This window comes from Homo sapiens, chromosome 21, assembly GCF_000001405.40.
Source record: "Homo sapiens chromosome 21, GRCh38.p14 Primary Assembly".
Lineage (NCBI taxonomy): Eukaryota > Metazoa > Chordata > Mammalia > Primates > Hominidae > Homo > Homo sapiens.
This window is the reverse complement of record NC_000021.9, coordinates 14,006,419-14,021,240: the sequence shown is the minus strand read 5'-3', so window position 1 is coordinate 14,021,240 and position 14,822 is coordinate 14,006,419. Positions and strand designations below refer to the sequence as shown.

Below are 14,822 nucleotides of genomic sequence, written 5' to 3'. Positions count from 1 at the left end.
TGTGTGTCTAAGTCCCCAGCATAATCACATCCTGAAACATTCCTTATGGAGGCTATGAAGAGCGGCAGGCAAGAGAAATCAATCTCTTCAGCCAGTAAGAGTGAGCCATGCTTATAAACAGAGGCTTATGGCCGGACACGGTGGCTCACTCCTGTAATCCCAGCACTTTGGGAGGCTGAGGCGGGTGGATCACAAGGTCAGGAGATTGAGACCAGCCTGACCAACATGGTGAAACCCCGTCTCTACTAAAAATACAAAAATTAGCCAGGCCTAGTGGCATGCGCCTGTAATGCCAGCTACTCAGGAGGCTGAGGCAGGAGAATCTTACATTGAGCCAAGATCACGCCACTGCACTCTAGCCTGGGCGACAGAGTGAGACCCTGTCTCAAAAAAGCAAAACAAAACAAAAACAGAAAACGAAGCAAAGAGAGACTTAAAAAAGACAAGTCCAGCATAACATGCTACACTCTGAATCTGGACGTGTAAGAGAGAGGACCTTTCATTTGAGCTTCAACATGGAATGGGGAACTGCAGACCAAAATTCTCACTGTGCCTCCATCCAAGACCTCACTGGCCAGCCCCCTTTCCAACATATCTCCTTTGCAGAAAGGGGCTCAGATGAGGAGGAGAAATGATTTGAAGAAAAAGGCAAGATGATCTCTTTCCATTCCAGTGAGAGCTGCACTCAAAGCTCAGGTAAGACCTTGGGCTGTTCTTATGAAGGTTGCAAAGAGGGGTGGAATGAAGGATACTAAGCTGTATGTCTTTGATAGGAGTTTATTTTGTAATTGAGGACAGGAAATGGATTACAGCCCTCAGGTGGCTTTGAGAAATGTGGTGATGATCTCCTGGGACTGTATTCTTCCCACTCACTTTTGACGCTGGCTGAACAGCATCAGTTGAGAAAATGACCCACAAATATGAGTCAGAAATAGACTATGGGACTCTGGGTCTAGAGAAAGGTGAATCACCCGAACTCCCTTTTCCACTAGGACCAGACCCCAATCCAAATGGGAAATAGAATTCCAAGAAAACTAAGCTCAAAACCAGAAACAGCAATGCTAGATCAAATAAGACTTGACTCTTCCAAGGTGAGAAGGGACAGGATATAGATTAACACAGTCTCCCCTGAGAAAGAAACTGAGAGCGTTTTTGAATGCAGCACTTTACAGATCCTGGGCGCTGGAGCACAGAGGAGAGCTGAGTTTTTGTGGAAACCTCATCTCTAGTGTATCAAAAATGGACTAAGGCTTCCAAGGTGTTCAGTTGGAGGCACTCACACACACCCATTTTTATCAACAGAATCAGAGTCCAGCTCAGATGAGCAGAAGAAATGAAGAAAAAAAAAAAAATTTCAAGGACACCTGACAAGATAGAGCAGGTAGAGTCTTGCTTTTTTATCCTAACAGACAAGCAAGACAAGCAAGGCTTGGGTAAGAAGGGGTCTTCTTGGTGGTTGAAAGAATTTTAGAGATCCTGGCATTCAGAGAGCATTTGGGGACCCAGGAGCGAACTCAATCTCACTTTATTAGGCAGGCTGAGGGAGCTGGCAAGTGGGAGGTGAGACAAGTGGGGGTCACCTGAATGTGCATGGGAAGGTTCTGGAATAAGCTTCTGTGTGAACTATTGTGGTGAATCTTTAACTCACGTGCTTTCTCCACAGGAAAGAGTCTAGGATATGAGCACAGCTTGACTTTGAAAAAGAAAGCAAAGGACTCTGAGGATGGACACAGTAGCAAATTAAGAAGACCAGTGATGCCCACCATAAGAGACCCTCAAGGGGTGCCACTGGGCACAGCAAGCAGCCCAGATCTTGGTTACCAAGAGAACAACCACCACCACTTCAAAAGACTGGTGACTCCCTGCATGCTATTTCTGAGGGCGTTATCAAGACCCAGTCCAGGTATGGGCAGAGGTGCATTCTCACCTGATGTGGAAGTAGCTTTCTTCCCAGATTCAGGGGCTTCTGTGCACTGTGCTGGAGGCATTCTACACCATGACTACCCAGGTAGCCTGTGTCTTCCCTGATGATGAATGGCTCATCCCAGCCACACTGCCTGGTCCTAGGGAGACATCCCTGTCTGGAGGAACTAAGAGCTCCTCCTAGGATGGAGATGGGTCTGCCTCTTCTCTAGTCAGGAGATAACTGAGTCAGTAAGTGAATAAGGTGAGGCTTGCGCTGGGGGCACCCAGACCTATTCAGCATAGGATGCAGTTCTGGAAACAAGAGCAGAGCTGCTACTTCTCAGATTCTTCCAAACGACCGGCAGTGACAATTTTAGAAACACTTTATTAATAAATAAAAAAATTGGCCAGGTGCAGTGGTTCATACCTGCAATCCTAACACTTTGGGAGGTCAAGTGGAAAGACTGCTTGAACTCAGGATTTGGAGACCGGCCTGAGCAATATAGTGAGACCCTGTCTCAAAAAAAAAAAAAAATAATTAGGTGGAGCATGATGACGTGTGCCTATAGTTTCAGCTACTCTGGAGGCAGAGGCAGGAGGATCACTTAAGCACAGAAAGTTGAGGCTACAGTGAGTCATGATCACACCACTGCACTGCAGCCTTGATGGCAGAGTGAAACTGTCTCAAAACAAAAACAAAGACAAAAATAAATGACAGAACCTTGAGCTGTCCTGGAAAAGGAACTTGAACAATATACTCAGAATTGGGAAATCTGGGTTTCCTTGAGGGCTAAGATTACTGCATATTTTATATTTTGTGTTAGATATTTGATGTATTTTGAATCTCTTATGACAGTCAGTTGCTAAATAATAATTATTTAGAAAGAACAACCATCAAGAAGCTCTGAACTTAAAAGTAAAAATAAAGTCCTAACTGAAAGACAGACAAGAACATCTTACCATGTGGCTTAGAAAAAGATAATCAGTTAAAATTCATTCATTCAACAAATATTTATGAAGCATTCACTACAAGGCGACACCATGCTAAATACTCATGAAAGGATAAAGATATAAAAATGTAAGAGCCAACAGTCTAGAGGGGAGAGAAACTTGTAAAGTAAATCATCACAATTGTTACAATGGTGGCGTGCAGCACAGAACAACGCACATTTCTTTGTTCGTGGGTAGTGTGTGTATGGGTAGTACCTGGTAACAGGCAGAGAAAGCTTCACAGAAATGGTGGTTTAAACTGCACTGTGGGCTGGGCATGGTGGCTTACACTTGTAATCCCAGCACTTTTGGAGGCCAAGGTGGGCAGATCACCTGAGGTCAGGAGTTTGAGACCAGTCTGGCCAACATGCTGAAACACTGTCTCTACTAAAAATACAAAAAAAAAAAAATTAACTGGGTGTGGTAGTACACACCTGTAATCCCAGCTGCTCAGGAGGCTGAGGCAGGAGAATCCCATGAACCCAGGAGGTGGAGATTGCAGTGAGCCGAAACTGCGTCACTGCACTCAAGCCTGAATGGCAGAGTGAGACTGTCTTAAATTAAAAAAAAAAAAAAAAAAAAAAAAATAGGCTGGGTGCGGTGACTCTCACCTGTAATGCCGGCACTTTGGGAGGCCGAGGTGGGTGGATCACCTGAGGTCAGGAGTTCCAGACCAGCCTGGCCAACATGGTGAAACCCCGTCTCTACTAAAGATACAAAAATGTCCTGGGATCACCCCCTTTGGCCTCTCCCACTCCTGCCCTCTGTGGGGTGGCCCAGGTTGTGCCCAGCTAGGCAGCTCTGCTGCCCTGAGTTCTAAGTGCTGGGACAAGCTGTCTGTCCATTGATGACCTCAAACCTCCGTCCAGGCTGCGTTCAGATTCTGCCCATCATCAAGCACCTCATTCTCCGAGGGCCCCAGAGGCTCCTGTGCCATGATCCCAACTTCAGCCTGACACTGGGCATAGTGTGGGGAAACCTTCCAAGGTACAGGAGGGGAGAGAGGATTCTGCCGGGCATCTAAGGGGCTTGCTCTGGGGGGGTCAGGCACCCCAAGGCCCAGCCTGGCCATGAGCAGCAGATGGGCCCTCTGGCCTCCTGCAGGGCAAGGATATTGAGTGTCTGACCCGGGGAGGCGTGCTCTGATCAGGTGGGAGTGCAAGCAAGCTCACCTGCAGGCTGGGCTGTCACAGCAGAGCAGAGAGAGCTCTCAGTGGCAAGTTTTACACAGATAGCCCCGTGGAGAAAAGCAACTTACTTTGCACAGTGATATTCCCTGCTTTTCAGAGCAAAGTTTTTTAGGGGTTGTTTAGGAAAAGTGGGTAAAGGTTTGTTTTGGTTTGGTTTTTGCAGACAGAGTCTCGCTCTATTGCCCAGGCTGGAGTGCAGTGGTGCGATCTCTGCTCACTGCAACCTCTGGCTCCCAGGTTCAAGTAATTCTCCTGCCTCAGCCTCCCGAGTAGCTGGGACTACAGGCATGCGTCACCATGCCCGCCTAATTTTTTGTATTTTAGTAGATGTGGGGTTTTGCTATGTTGCCCAGGGTGGTCTCAAACTCCTGAGCTTGGGCAATCCGCCCACCTCGGCCTCCCAAAAGTGCTGGGATTACAGGTGTGAGCCACCACACCCAGCTGAGGGTAAAGATTTTTTTTTTTTTTTTTGAAATGGAGTCTCACTCTGATGCCCAGGCCAGAGTGCAGTAGCATGATCTTGGCTCACTGCGACCTCCACCTCCCAGGTTCAAGTGATTCTCCTGCCTCAGCCTCCCGAGTAGCGGGGACTACAGGCGTGTGCCACCACGCTTGGCTAATTTTTGTATTTTTAGTAGAGACGGGTTTTACCATATTGGCCAGGCTGGTCTCGAACTTCTGACCTCGTGATCCACCTGCCTCGGCCTCCCAAAGTGCTGGGATTACAGGCATGAGCCACCATGCCTGGCTGGATAAAGATTTTTAAGAATTTCAGTGACTAAACTTTAAGAAGGAATGAAGCCCACGCAGGAACTCTGTATGACTTTCAACCCGAGGGGCTCTGGCCTGGGCTTTCCAGTGACTGGCAGCATCGGGACATCCACCGCTGTGGCCTTGGCCCCATTTCCCGTGTTGTGCCCCCCACTTGCTGCAGATGCCCTGACGGCAGCGTGGCCAAACAAGGGGAGGAGCTGTGAGCACAGACATGGCCTGCTGGTCAACAGGGCAGGGAGAGCCAGCCTGGTGCTGAGCTTGCAGCCTGGCTGGGGGAGATGCCCGGAGCCCCAATACCACACAGACCCTCCAGGACTGCTGGGGGTCAGTGGGCAGGGTCCTCTGAGGTGTCAGACCTGCCCCGCCTGTCGGGGCAGGGTAGGACAGGTGGGACGCTTGCAGGCTGAGCTGCATTGGGCAGTGAGGCTGGGGGCACCCTCACCCCACTCCAGGCAGGCCCTTCACAAGCATGGAAACAGGAGTGACTGGGATGCACCGCCAGGTGTGAAAGGCACCTTGTCCTCTCCTAGAGGAATCCAGCCCAAGGACTTCCCCACTGTTGCCTGGACCTACAGGGAGCTCAGGCCCCAGGTCCTCTGCACAGCTTTGCCCTTGCCGGGTGTGCCCTCCTCCCCACTTCAAGCCCAGTCCTACCTTCCCCCTCAGGTTTACCTGGCCCTAGCATCTACCCTAGCTGTCCTGCCCTCCTGCTAAACTCCCAACCCCTGACCCCAAAGGCCAGAAGAGGTATCTGTTCACTGAAGGATGCCAGGGACCTTCTTCCTGTGGGGGGATGGATGGGATTCAGCTTGCTGGAGGGGCTGGCCAGACTCCAGCCTCCTCACAGGGAGTGCCTCCCTCTCCACTCTCTCCCCAGGAATGGCTCTTGGAGGCTCAAGGGAGCCTGAGCCTCTGACCATCTGCAAGCTGCCTCCAACTCTCAGTCAGGGTTTGGATGCCCCAAGTGCAGTCCTGAGGCCCCCGCCCCCCCATCCTACTGTCCTGGCTTCTGAGGCATCTGGAAATCTAGGCCTCCCATGGAAGGGGAGCAGCAGGCGAGGTCTGCATGAGCTCCACAGATGCCTGCTTACCTGCTGGACTTAAAGTCTGTGCCCCTCCCCGACCTCCAGGGTACCCAGATCCCAGGCGGCTCAGCCAGGCCCAGAGCCCCAAGAGCTGGGCTGTTCTCTCTAACTGGGGTCTGGGGTAGGGGCTGCCCCCACCAAGTCCCTGGGGGACTGTCTGGGACATCCAGGCCCTGTCTTCTTGTCTTAACCACTCACAACAGAGAACACAGATGTTCTGTCCAAGAAGGAAGCCCTCACACTCCTCCCATCCTGCCTCTATTTAAATGCGTGGGCATGACCACCCCGAGCCAGCCTGTAAGGGGTCACGGGGCCATCGGGGAAGCAGTGTGGAGAAGAACCCTGGCCTGGCCTCAGCCTGCTCCCAAGGGAGCTAAGAGCTGGGGACAGAGCCTGGAAGCCGCAGCCTTTGCACCCAGGCAGGCCTGCCCACCTACCCCCGACGCCCCACACACCTGCTGACAGCCTCCTCTGTCCTGGCCACTGTGGGCAGCGGGGGCGGGGGGCCTCCTAGCCCGGACGGGTGTTCACAGCATCCATGGCACTCACTGCCTTCTGGTCGTCATGTATCGCTGTCGGAGCCCCCACAGGAGCTGCTGTCAGAGGCCAGCAGGGGGGCCTTCCTGGTGACACACACGGAGGTACACGGAGGTACATGGAGAAGCTGGGCTGACTGCAGAGTAGGAGGCCTGTGCTGTCCAGTGAGGCAGGAGGGGCCACAGGGTGTGGCAACCCCGGCCATAGGGATCCCTTACGTGTAGCCCTCTCACATGCAGCCTGTCGCCTGCACACGTGTACCTGTGTGGAAACCGCATGACGAGGCTAACAGGCTCACACACCTTCCATGTGGTCTCCACACAAGCAACACTGTTGCCTCCCCCATGATACAGGGCAATGTGCCCTGGTCTCACATGAGGACGCAGAGGCTCAGGAAGGGGCCCGCTCTGCCTTGTGTGGTCCTGCCACAGCTCCTTCAAGCACCGGGGACACCAGTGTTGGAAGCCAGCTGTCGCTCGCCTGGAGCTCTCAGCCTTGTCTGGGGGAGCCTCTCGGCCTGACTAGGGGCCTGGGGGCCAGGGGCTCTGATCAGGCCCCAGAATGGCTTCCTGCCAACAACCCACCCACACACATCTCAATGCTGGGGTCCTGGTGCTGCTGTCTAGAATCAAGGGTACAGACCTGGGCTGTGCCACCTGCTCAGACGGGGCTCAGGGCCAGCCCAATGGCCTTGCTGCCTCCCCTCTGGGGGCCTCCCCATCTGCACGTGGCTGCTCCAGTCCCACTGCTGTATCAAACCCCAATGTCACAAGAGACCTAGCAGCATGCAGGGTCCTGGCCACCTCCTCCCACTGACCCCAAGGAGGGGGGCCAGCTGGCCTCAGGCCTTAAACTGGGCAAGGCTAGGCCTCTGCAGGAGGCTGGGTGCCGCCTGCACTGCTGCTACTCACAGGCTTTCTCGAGGCCTTGGCTCTGGCTGCCTCAGCCTGGCTGTGTTTTGTGTCCATCAGAGAGCTGCACCTGGGCCCTGACTCGGAGCTACAGACAAGGACGAGGACAGGGTCAGTCCCGGAGGACGGGCACCTCCTGACCCTGGAAGGCACTTCCTGACACGGCCCCCTCCTGCCAATGCATTTGTTACCAGCAGAAAGGCTGGAATTCGGTGAACTGGCCCAGCCTTTCTCCTCTGGAGCTGAGGTGCCAGCTGCCCACACGCTGGAACCCTGTCCCTCACCACTCCTGGGGCTATGGGCGTCGAGTTTGCTGGCTTATCAAACACTGTCATCCATATGGTGTCTGCTGGGTGAGAGACACAGTGGCCAGGTGAGGGCAGGCCTGTCTGGGGTGCTGCAGGCAAAGGGGAGGCAGCGCACCCCCCACTGGGAGCCCCACAGAGGTTGACAGGAACATGGGGCTGCTCCAGGAGGGAGGCCCAAGCAGTGCCCCTCAGCCCCTCAGAGAATAACAGGGGACAGCTCGAGGGTCCTGACAAGCTGCCAACATCCATGGGGTGTGTGAACTGGGGCTCAGCCAGGCGCCTGAGGGCCCCCAGGCCTCCAGCAGGGCTGACACTGACAGTGTGGAGGTGATGCCACTGCCCTCCATGATCCGGGGCTCAGTCAGGCGCCTGAGGGCCCCCCGGCCTCCAGCAAGGCTGACACTGACAGTGTGGAGGCGATGCCACTACCCTCCATGATCCAGGGCTCAGTCAGGCACCTGAGGGCCCCTAGGCCTCCAGCAGGACTGACGCTGATAGTGTGGAGGCAATGCCACTGCCCTCCATGACCTGGGGCTCAGTCAGGCGCCTGAGGGCCCCTAGGCCTCCAGCATGGCTGACGCTGACAGTGTGGAGGTGATGCCACTGCCCTGTCCTATCCAGGACCGCATCCAACAGAGATGGCAGCTCACCAAGCACCACCAGGCCCTCCCTGGCCTCAAGGATGAGCCGCCTTCCTCCTATCTGGGACGTTCCTGCTTCCCCAGGGTGTTGCCCTTGCTCTCTCTTTTGGCCTCAGCTAAGAGCTCGGCACCTCCTAACAGAGATCCCTGCCCCCTCCCCAAAGTCCTGAGTGGGTCAGTGCTGCCCCCAGAGCAGGGGTAAGGAGAGGGGTCTTATCAGCCGCGCAGCCTGCGGGGTGGACTGGCTCCTGCCCTAGATGTCAGCCGTGAGGGTGGAGGCCAGGCTGTGCTGCTGTGCTGGGGTGGGCATCAGGCCTGTGTCGCATTGTGTGGGGGCCGGGTGGACGATGGGGACTAGGTGGACACCACCCACCAACCTTGGTGACAGTGGCAGAGTGACAACAACTGAGAGGCAGGGGCAGGAGACCACCTTGTGCCGGGCACAGGGCAGCACAGACCCCTACTCAGGATGGCTGGGAAAGAGCTGGAGATGCAGGTTTCGGGCCACAGTGAGCCCCAAATGCCTCAGCTCCAAATGAAGCCTCCACACCCCTAGGCCAGGGTACCATGTCCTGCCCCCAACACACACATCCCCGGCCCCTGCCCCACAGCACCACCTTCTGAGTCACCCTCCAGAGGAGGGGCTTTGTTCTTTCCAGGGTCTAGGGGGCACCTGCCCCAGGCGCATCATGGTCTGCTTCCAAGCTCGCCTTCCCATCCTGGCCTCCGCACTCCGGGCCATTCTTTGAGCAGCTTTCTGAAGCATGGGGGGCTCCAAACCTCGGGGAGATGCAGAGTCAGATGCCTGGTGGCCCAGGACAGATGCCTAACACTGAGGGTCAGTGACAGCAGCAGGCTCCAGGCTGAGGGTGAGCACAGAATGCCCTGAGTGAGGAGCACGAGTCGCTCCAGGCCTCAGCTCCGAGCTCCTGAGGGTCACCCGCTGCGTTGGGCGCCAGTGCTTGCAGGACCGGTGTGCTTGCTCTGCGAGCCGGCATAACAAACAGCAGGGCGTCTGGGCATCTGACGGGTGTTCTGGGGGCTGCACCTCCTCGGCAGAGGCTTTGGGGGGATGGGCAGGCCCCGCACCTGGCTCTGGCCTTCACCTGGGCAGCACAGCAAGTGTCGCTGTCCTCCGAGATGTCCTCGTTCTCATCAAAGTGCTGGATGCGGTCGCTGCAGCAGGCCTCAGAGCCGCGCTGGGCTGCAGAGTAAAACGCCAAGGTCAGTTTCCAGAGGGTCTGGGGGAGACAGGAGGCGCTCTCCCCACAGGGCTCCCAGAGGGGCTTAGTTCAGGATGTGGGCGCCATGGGCTGGAGGGCATGATGGGGAGGGTCAAGAAAAGCGACTGTTCCTAGCTCCACAGAGGGGCCTCTCCCAGCCCCACCGCACAGGCCCACCACAGACCGAGCCATGGGCGCGGCCTGAGCTGCCTGGGAACAGGGTGCCTGCATGACCCCGCACAGCCCCGCTCGCTCACACTGTCCTCGTCAGTGTCGATGTTGAAGTTGATCTCCGCGATCCTGTCAAATGGGGCGCTGCAAGAGCAAGGGGGATGGCCTCGGCGCTCCCTGCCCCGCCCACTGCTCATCTGGGGGCCTCGGGGCTCCTCCCCCACTGCTCATCTGGGGCCTCGGCGCTCCTCCCCCGGTGCTCATCTGGGGCCTCGGCGCTCCTCCCCCGGTGCTCGTCTGGGGCCTCAGAGCTCCTCCCCCGGGGCTCATCTGGGGCCTCAGCTCTCCTCCTCTGGTGCTCATCTGGGGCTTCAACGCTCCTCCCCCGGTGCTCATCTGGGGCCTCAGTGCTCCTCCCCTGGTGCTCATCTGGGGCCTCAGGGCTCCTCCCCCGGTGCTCATCTGAGGCCTCAGTGCTCCTCCCCTGGTTCTCACTGGGGGCCTCAGCACCCTCATGCAACTGGAAACACCTGTTATCTCCCGGCAAGGACTAAGGGAGCTGCCCCCATGGGACTTCAGCAGCGAGGAGGGGGAGTCGTGCCTCGTGCAGGGGGCATCCAAGTGGACTCACTTGATGTTGTTGTCATGGTCTGCAAACTCCTCATCATTGAAGCCAAACTGATCCACAAAGTTGGCCGTCATCTGCTGGATCTGGTAGTCAGAGAAGGCCTGGGAAGGAAGGAGGGAAGGAGGGACGGAGGGAGGGAGGCAGGGACTGACGCCGGTCATAGAGCAGTCCTCAGGCCTACAGGCTGCTCTTTGGGAACCACAGTCTCTCTAGTTGTTCAGGAGCTTCTCCTCCAGCAAAAGTGGGCAGTAAACTCTGACTGTTCAGGGCTCACGATTCTACCCAAACTCAGGCCGCGTGCTCACTGTGCTTACATCCGAGATACGTCCCATATTCTTTGACTTTCGAGTTTATCTGCTGTGTTCTCAGTGCTCTCATCAAGGTGGAGTGACTTTGGAGTTCTCCCCTCAGACCCACCCCACCCCATACGTGCTCCGAGATGAGCCCCCTCTCCCTTTTGCTAGTGAGATGCCATCAGAGACTTGTCTGGAGGACCAAGCACAGAGCACACAGGTGCCAGGAAGGGCCCGGCAGGGTGCAGGGGCCGGCCACGCCCTCACCTGCTGAAGGGACAGCTCATTAGGGAAAGCACCCTCAATGTCCTCACTCCAGGAGTGAAGGTAGTGAGTGCTTGCCTAAAACACAGGCCAGATGGGGTGGGTGTGTGAGCCAGCCCAGCGCCCCAGACCCTGCCCAGCCCAGGGCTCCCAGACCCCGCCCAACATGTCACTCATCAGATCTCTGGGCCCAGGAGGCCTTGCTGTGTAAGGAGGTGCCCAGGTGAGGCCAAGGCCCCGTGACAGCCCAACATCCATGTGCAGGGGGCAGGTTGGTCTCAGGCATATGGAGCCCCCTGCCAACAAGCTACAGCTCCTGGACTGGGAGGGAAGGGACCTGGGGCCAACACCAGCTCTGCACAGAGGTCCTCAGAGACCAGCCCTGGGTGTGGCACAGGACAGGGTCTGTGTTGCAGGCATCAGCCTGGAGGACAGACTGCACACTTGCAGGGTATGCTCGGGCACCCGCGTCCAAGAGGAGCAGGCAGGTGTGCGGCCCTTGTGCCTCTCTTGGCCTCTGCTTCGGGGCAAAGACAGGAGTGTCTGACAGTGTCCCAGCACCGTGCATGCACCAAGGGGGCAGCCCCGAGCCTCCTGCGTCCCAGCACCATGCCGGCGCCGAGGGCGCAGCCCCAAGCCTCCTCAACAAGTCCACAGTGTTCCTGCAGTTGGTCTCCGTCAGCGTCTCCTCCACGAAGCTCTCCTAGCAGCCATGGCAATCCACAGGGAGCTCTACAAGGAAAGTGCAGCCTGGTGAGCCCTGGGAGACCCCTTGCACATGGCTCAGGGCACTCAGGCGCTCTGGCAGGTGCATCCTGGGTCCAGGAGGATGGGACGGTGCTACTGTGGTCAGTCCATCTGAGGGCCTGAAGCAGGAGCTTTGCTGGATGGGAAGGAGTCAGCATAGTCGCGTGTCCGGAGGGGCCTGGGGCCACAGTGAGATTGAGGTGCAGCAACTGTGGGCAGGGTGGTGGGCACTTCTGCCCCTACCAAGACCTCAGTGGGCAACCGAGTTCCAAGTCTGTTGGTGTGGAAGCCCATTCTGAGGAACTCCCAGAAACGCAGAAGCTGTGGAACAGAATCTGAGAAAGCAGCAAGCTTCCTTCACCCTGCCTCACAGGCCCAAACTCAGCAGCAGCCTGCAGGCCTGGGTGTGTGTCCTGTCTGTTTTTCCAGGGAGGTCAGAACCCTGGAAGGATTCACAATCGGGAGACTGTATGGGATGATCCAAGAGCTTCCTGCTTGCCCCTCGCCTCCCTAAACCACCCCTGCCCTGGGGAGCCCTCCCTGGCCTCCACCTCCACCCATCTCTTTTGCCCCTCCTCTTGCCCTGCTCTTATTATTTGTGACAGCGGCCGGCAGGCCTGACCTTGCTAGGGGCCAATGGGGCCCAACCCAGGAGACCCCTCACCCTATGGTCCTGGGGTGCGGGGAGGACCATCCAGAGCTTCCTCACTTTGTACCGGTATAGGGAGGAGGGGCCATGGCTGGGCCCGCCTCTGCCACACATGTGGTGTGCCTGTGTCCACCTAACCCACTGTGCTCTTAAGAAACAGGGTGCTACCTGTTTCCCTGAGACTTGTGCTATGAAGTCTCACACCTGAGTGAGAATGTGAGACTCTCCAACCACCTGAATGCAGAGCAAAGCTGGCACACGGCCAGGACTGCCTACACCCAGGCAGGACTCCATGAGCTGCAAGGAGCTTGGCAGCGCTAATGGCTTCGGAGCACCAGCTCCGGAGTCACCAACTGCCCCCAGCAGGGACTATCTCTTGTGCTACATGCTGATGCCTGGTAGGGTCTCCACAGAAGTCTGCCCAACAGAACTGACACATGAGACCCAGGTCCCCCTGAGGACAGATCTAATGTGGGAAGTGAGAGGACAGAGACGGCTGCGGGGTCTTTCACTGTCAGTGCAATCAGCACCTGCTGACGGGCAGAGGGGAGCCTCGGGCAGCAGCTCCTTCAGAGCCCCGGTGCCCACGACCAGCAAAAGGATGACCGGGTGGGGGGCTCACCTCAGATGACCTCGCTGATGTGCGTCTGCACAGAGCCCTGCTCCAGGTTCTGCACCAGCACGTTGGCGATCTGCGTGAGGTGGCCTATGTTCCCATGCCTCATGCCACCCGTCGCCCTAAAAGCCACAGGCACCATCAGGGTGGCCGCCTGGCCCCAACCTTGCCAGACCCATGACCCGGTGAGCCAAGTGGCACAGGCCTCCAGGTTCACCTCCAGAGCAAGAGCCCGGCCCTTGCCCGGAGCCTGTGCCCCCGGCCCTGCCTCCAAGACACTTCTGTTTGAGCAGCACCTGCCACGTGAAGCAGGCTCACCCCAACCTCACTACCAAAAGTGCCACTGAGACAGACGTGGAGACAGACACTGCTCTCATCCCATTTTACAGACAGGGAAACGGAGGCAGAAAGGCCGTGGTGTGGCCTGAGCCCTGCTGGTGGCAGCAGTAGCGCAGGAGCTGAGCCCACGCTGTCAGCTGCAAAGCTCAGGCTCAGCACCCTGCAGGGAGGGTCGGGCGGGACCTCCATGCTGTGCAGCCCAGCTGAGCCTCTGCTTCCCCACAGCTGCATTCAAACCCCTCCCAGCTCCAGTGAGTCCCTCCTCATATCGCCCAGAGCCAGACAGCTCCCAGCAGGACAATGAATGGGTGGGGATGGCTTTGGGTCCAGGACAATAAGCAGGACATGTGTCCTGACCAGAGGGAGCACCCATTAAGCAGAAGACACGGAAAGACCAAAATAACGCGTCCCCATGTGCGAGTGCTGATAGAGCACCCGAGTTCTTGGGGGAAGATCAGGAATGGACAGGGGACCCGCAAGAGGGCAAAGCCTAGGCAAGCCAGGCTGGGCAGGGGCCAGAGCAGGTGCCTGGTGGGGCTGGGACTGCTTCCTGTCAGCTCCCTGTGTCCCCTCCCCAAGTAGCATTTGCAGCTGTCCACCCAGTAGGAGGGCCCCTTGCATGGCAGCCTCAGAGTGTGGAGCTGTGTCGCACACCCAGCGCTCCACCAGAGCATGCAGTCCTGCACGCAGCATCACCAGTGCCCGGCTGAGGTGCGTTTCTGCATCCCTGACTGGCCAGGCTGGGTCCCTCCATGTCCGAGTGGCTCTTACTGTGTGTGGTCATTGGCTTCCCAGGCCTCCAGGATCCTCTGCCCCAGGCAGCACTTCTGAAACAACTGGGGGTGGCAGGGGCGGTAGCGTGAGTCAGGGTCTGACTTGGTGCACTGCAACCTCTGCCTCCCAGGTTCAAGCGATTCTCCTGCCTCAGCCTCCTGAGTAGCTGGGATTACAGGCGCCCGCCACCATGCCCAGGTAATTTTTGTATTTTTAGTAGAGACGGGGTCTTGCCATGTTGGTCACGCTAGTCTTGAACTTCCGACCTCAGGTGATTTGTCCACCTCAGCCTCCCAAAGTGCTGGGATTACAGGCGTGAGCCACCATGCCTTGCCTCTTTTGTCCTTAAGTTGGAAGCTTAACTCATTAATTTGTAGCCTTTCTTCTTTTCCAGTCTGTCTTTAAAAGGCTACATTTCCCTGTATACAATGAACTTTAACTACATTCTACACATTTTGCTATGTAGTATTTTTATTATTCTTCAGTTCTAAGTATTTGAAAAGTTCCTTTATAATTTTGTCTTCCTCATGAGTTATTAGAAGTGTGTTAGACTCTCAAGCACGTGAGGATTCCACCCAGGATGGGCAGGCATGTGCACATCGTCCACCACACAAACGTGAGACTGTGAGGTGCACGTTCAGAGACTCCCCAAGGGACCCCGGACCTAAGCAGCATGGGCTGAAGCCCAGAGGAGGTTCTGGCCACCTAGGCACTCCCCTGGCGGACAGAGGTAGCGGAATGAGGACAGCGGGTCTGCAAGCTACCATCCATAGGCCA

At 56.6% G+C, this 14,822-nt stretch overlaps 2 pseudogenes; one reads left to right on the top strand and one right to left on the bottom strand.

Annotated features, from left to right (window-relative positions):
* FRG2MP (FSHD region gene 2 family member M, pseudogene) lies at positions 516–2,181 on the top strand (annotated as a pseudogene).
* On the bottom strand, positions 7,393–14,112 carry PPP6R2P1 (protein phosphatase 6 regulatory subunit 2 pseudogene 1; annotated as a pseudogene).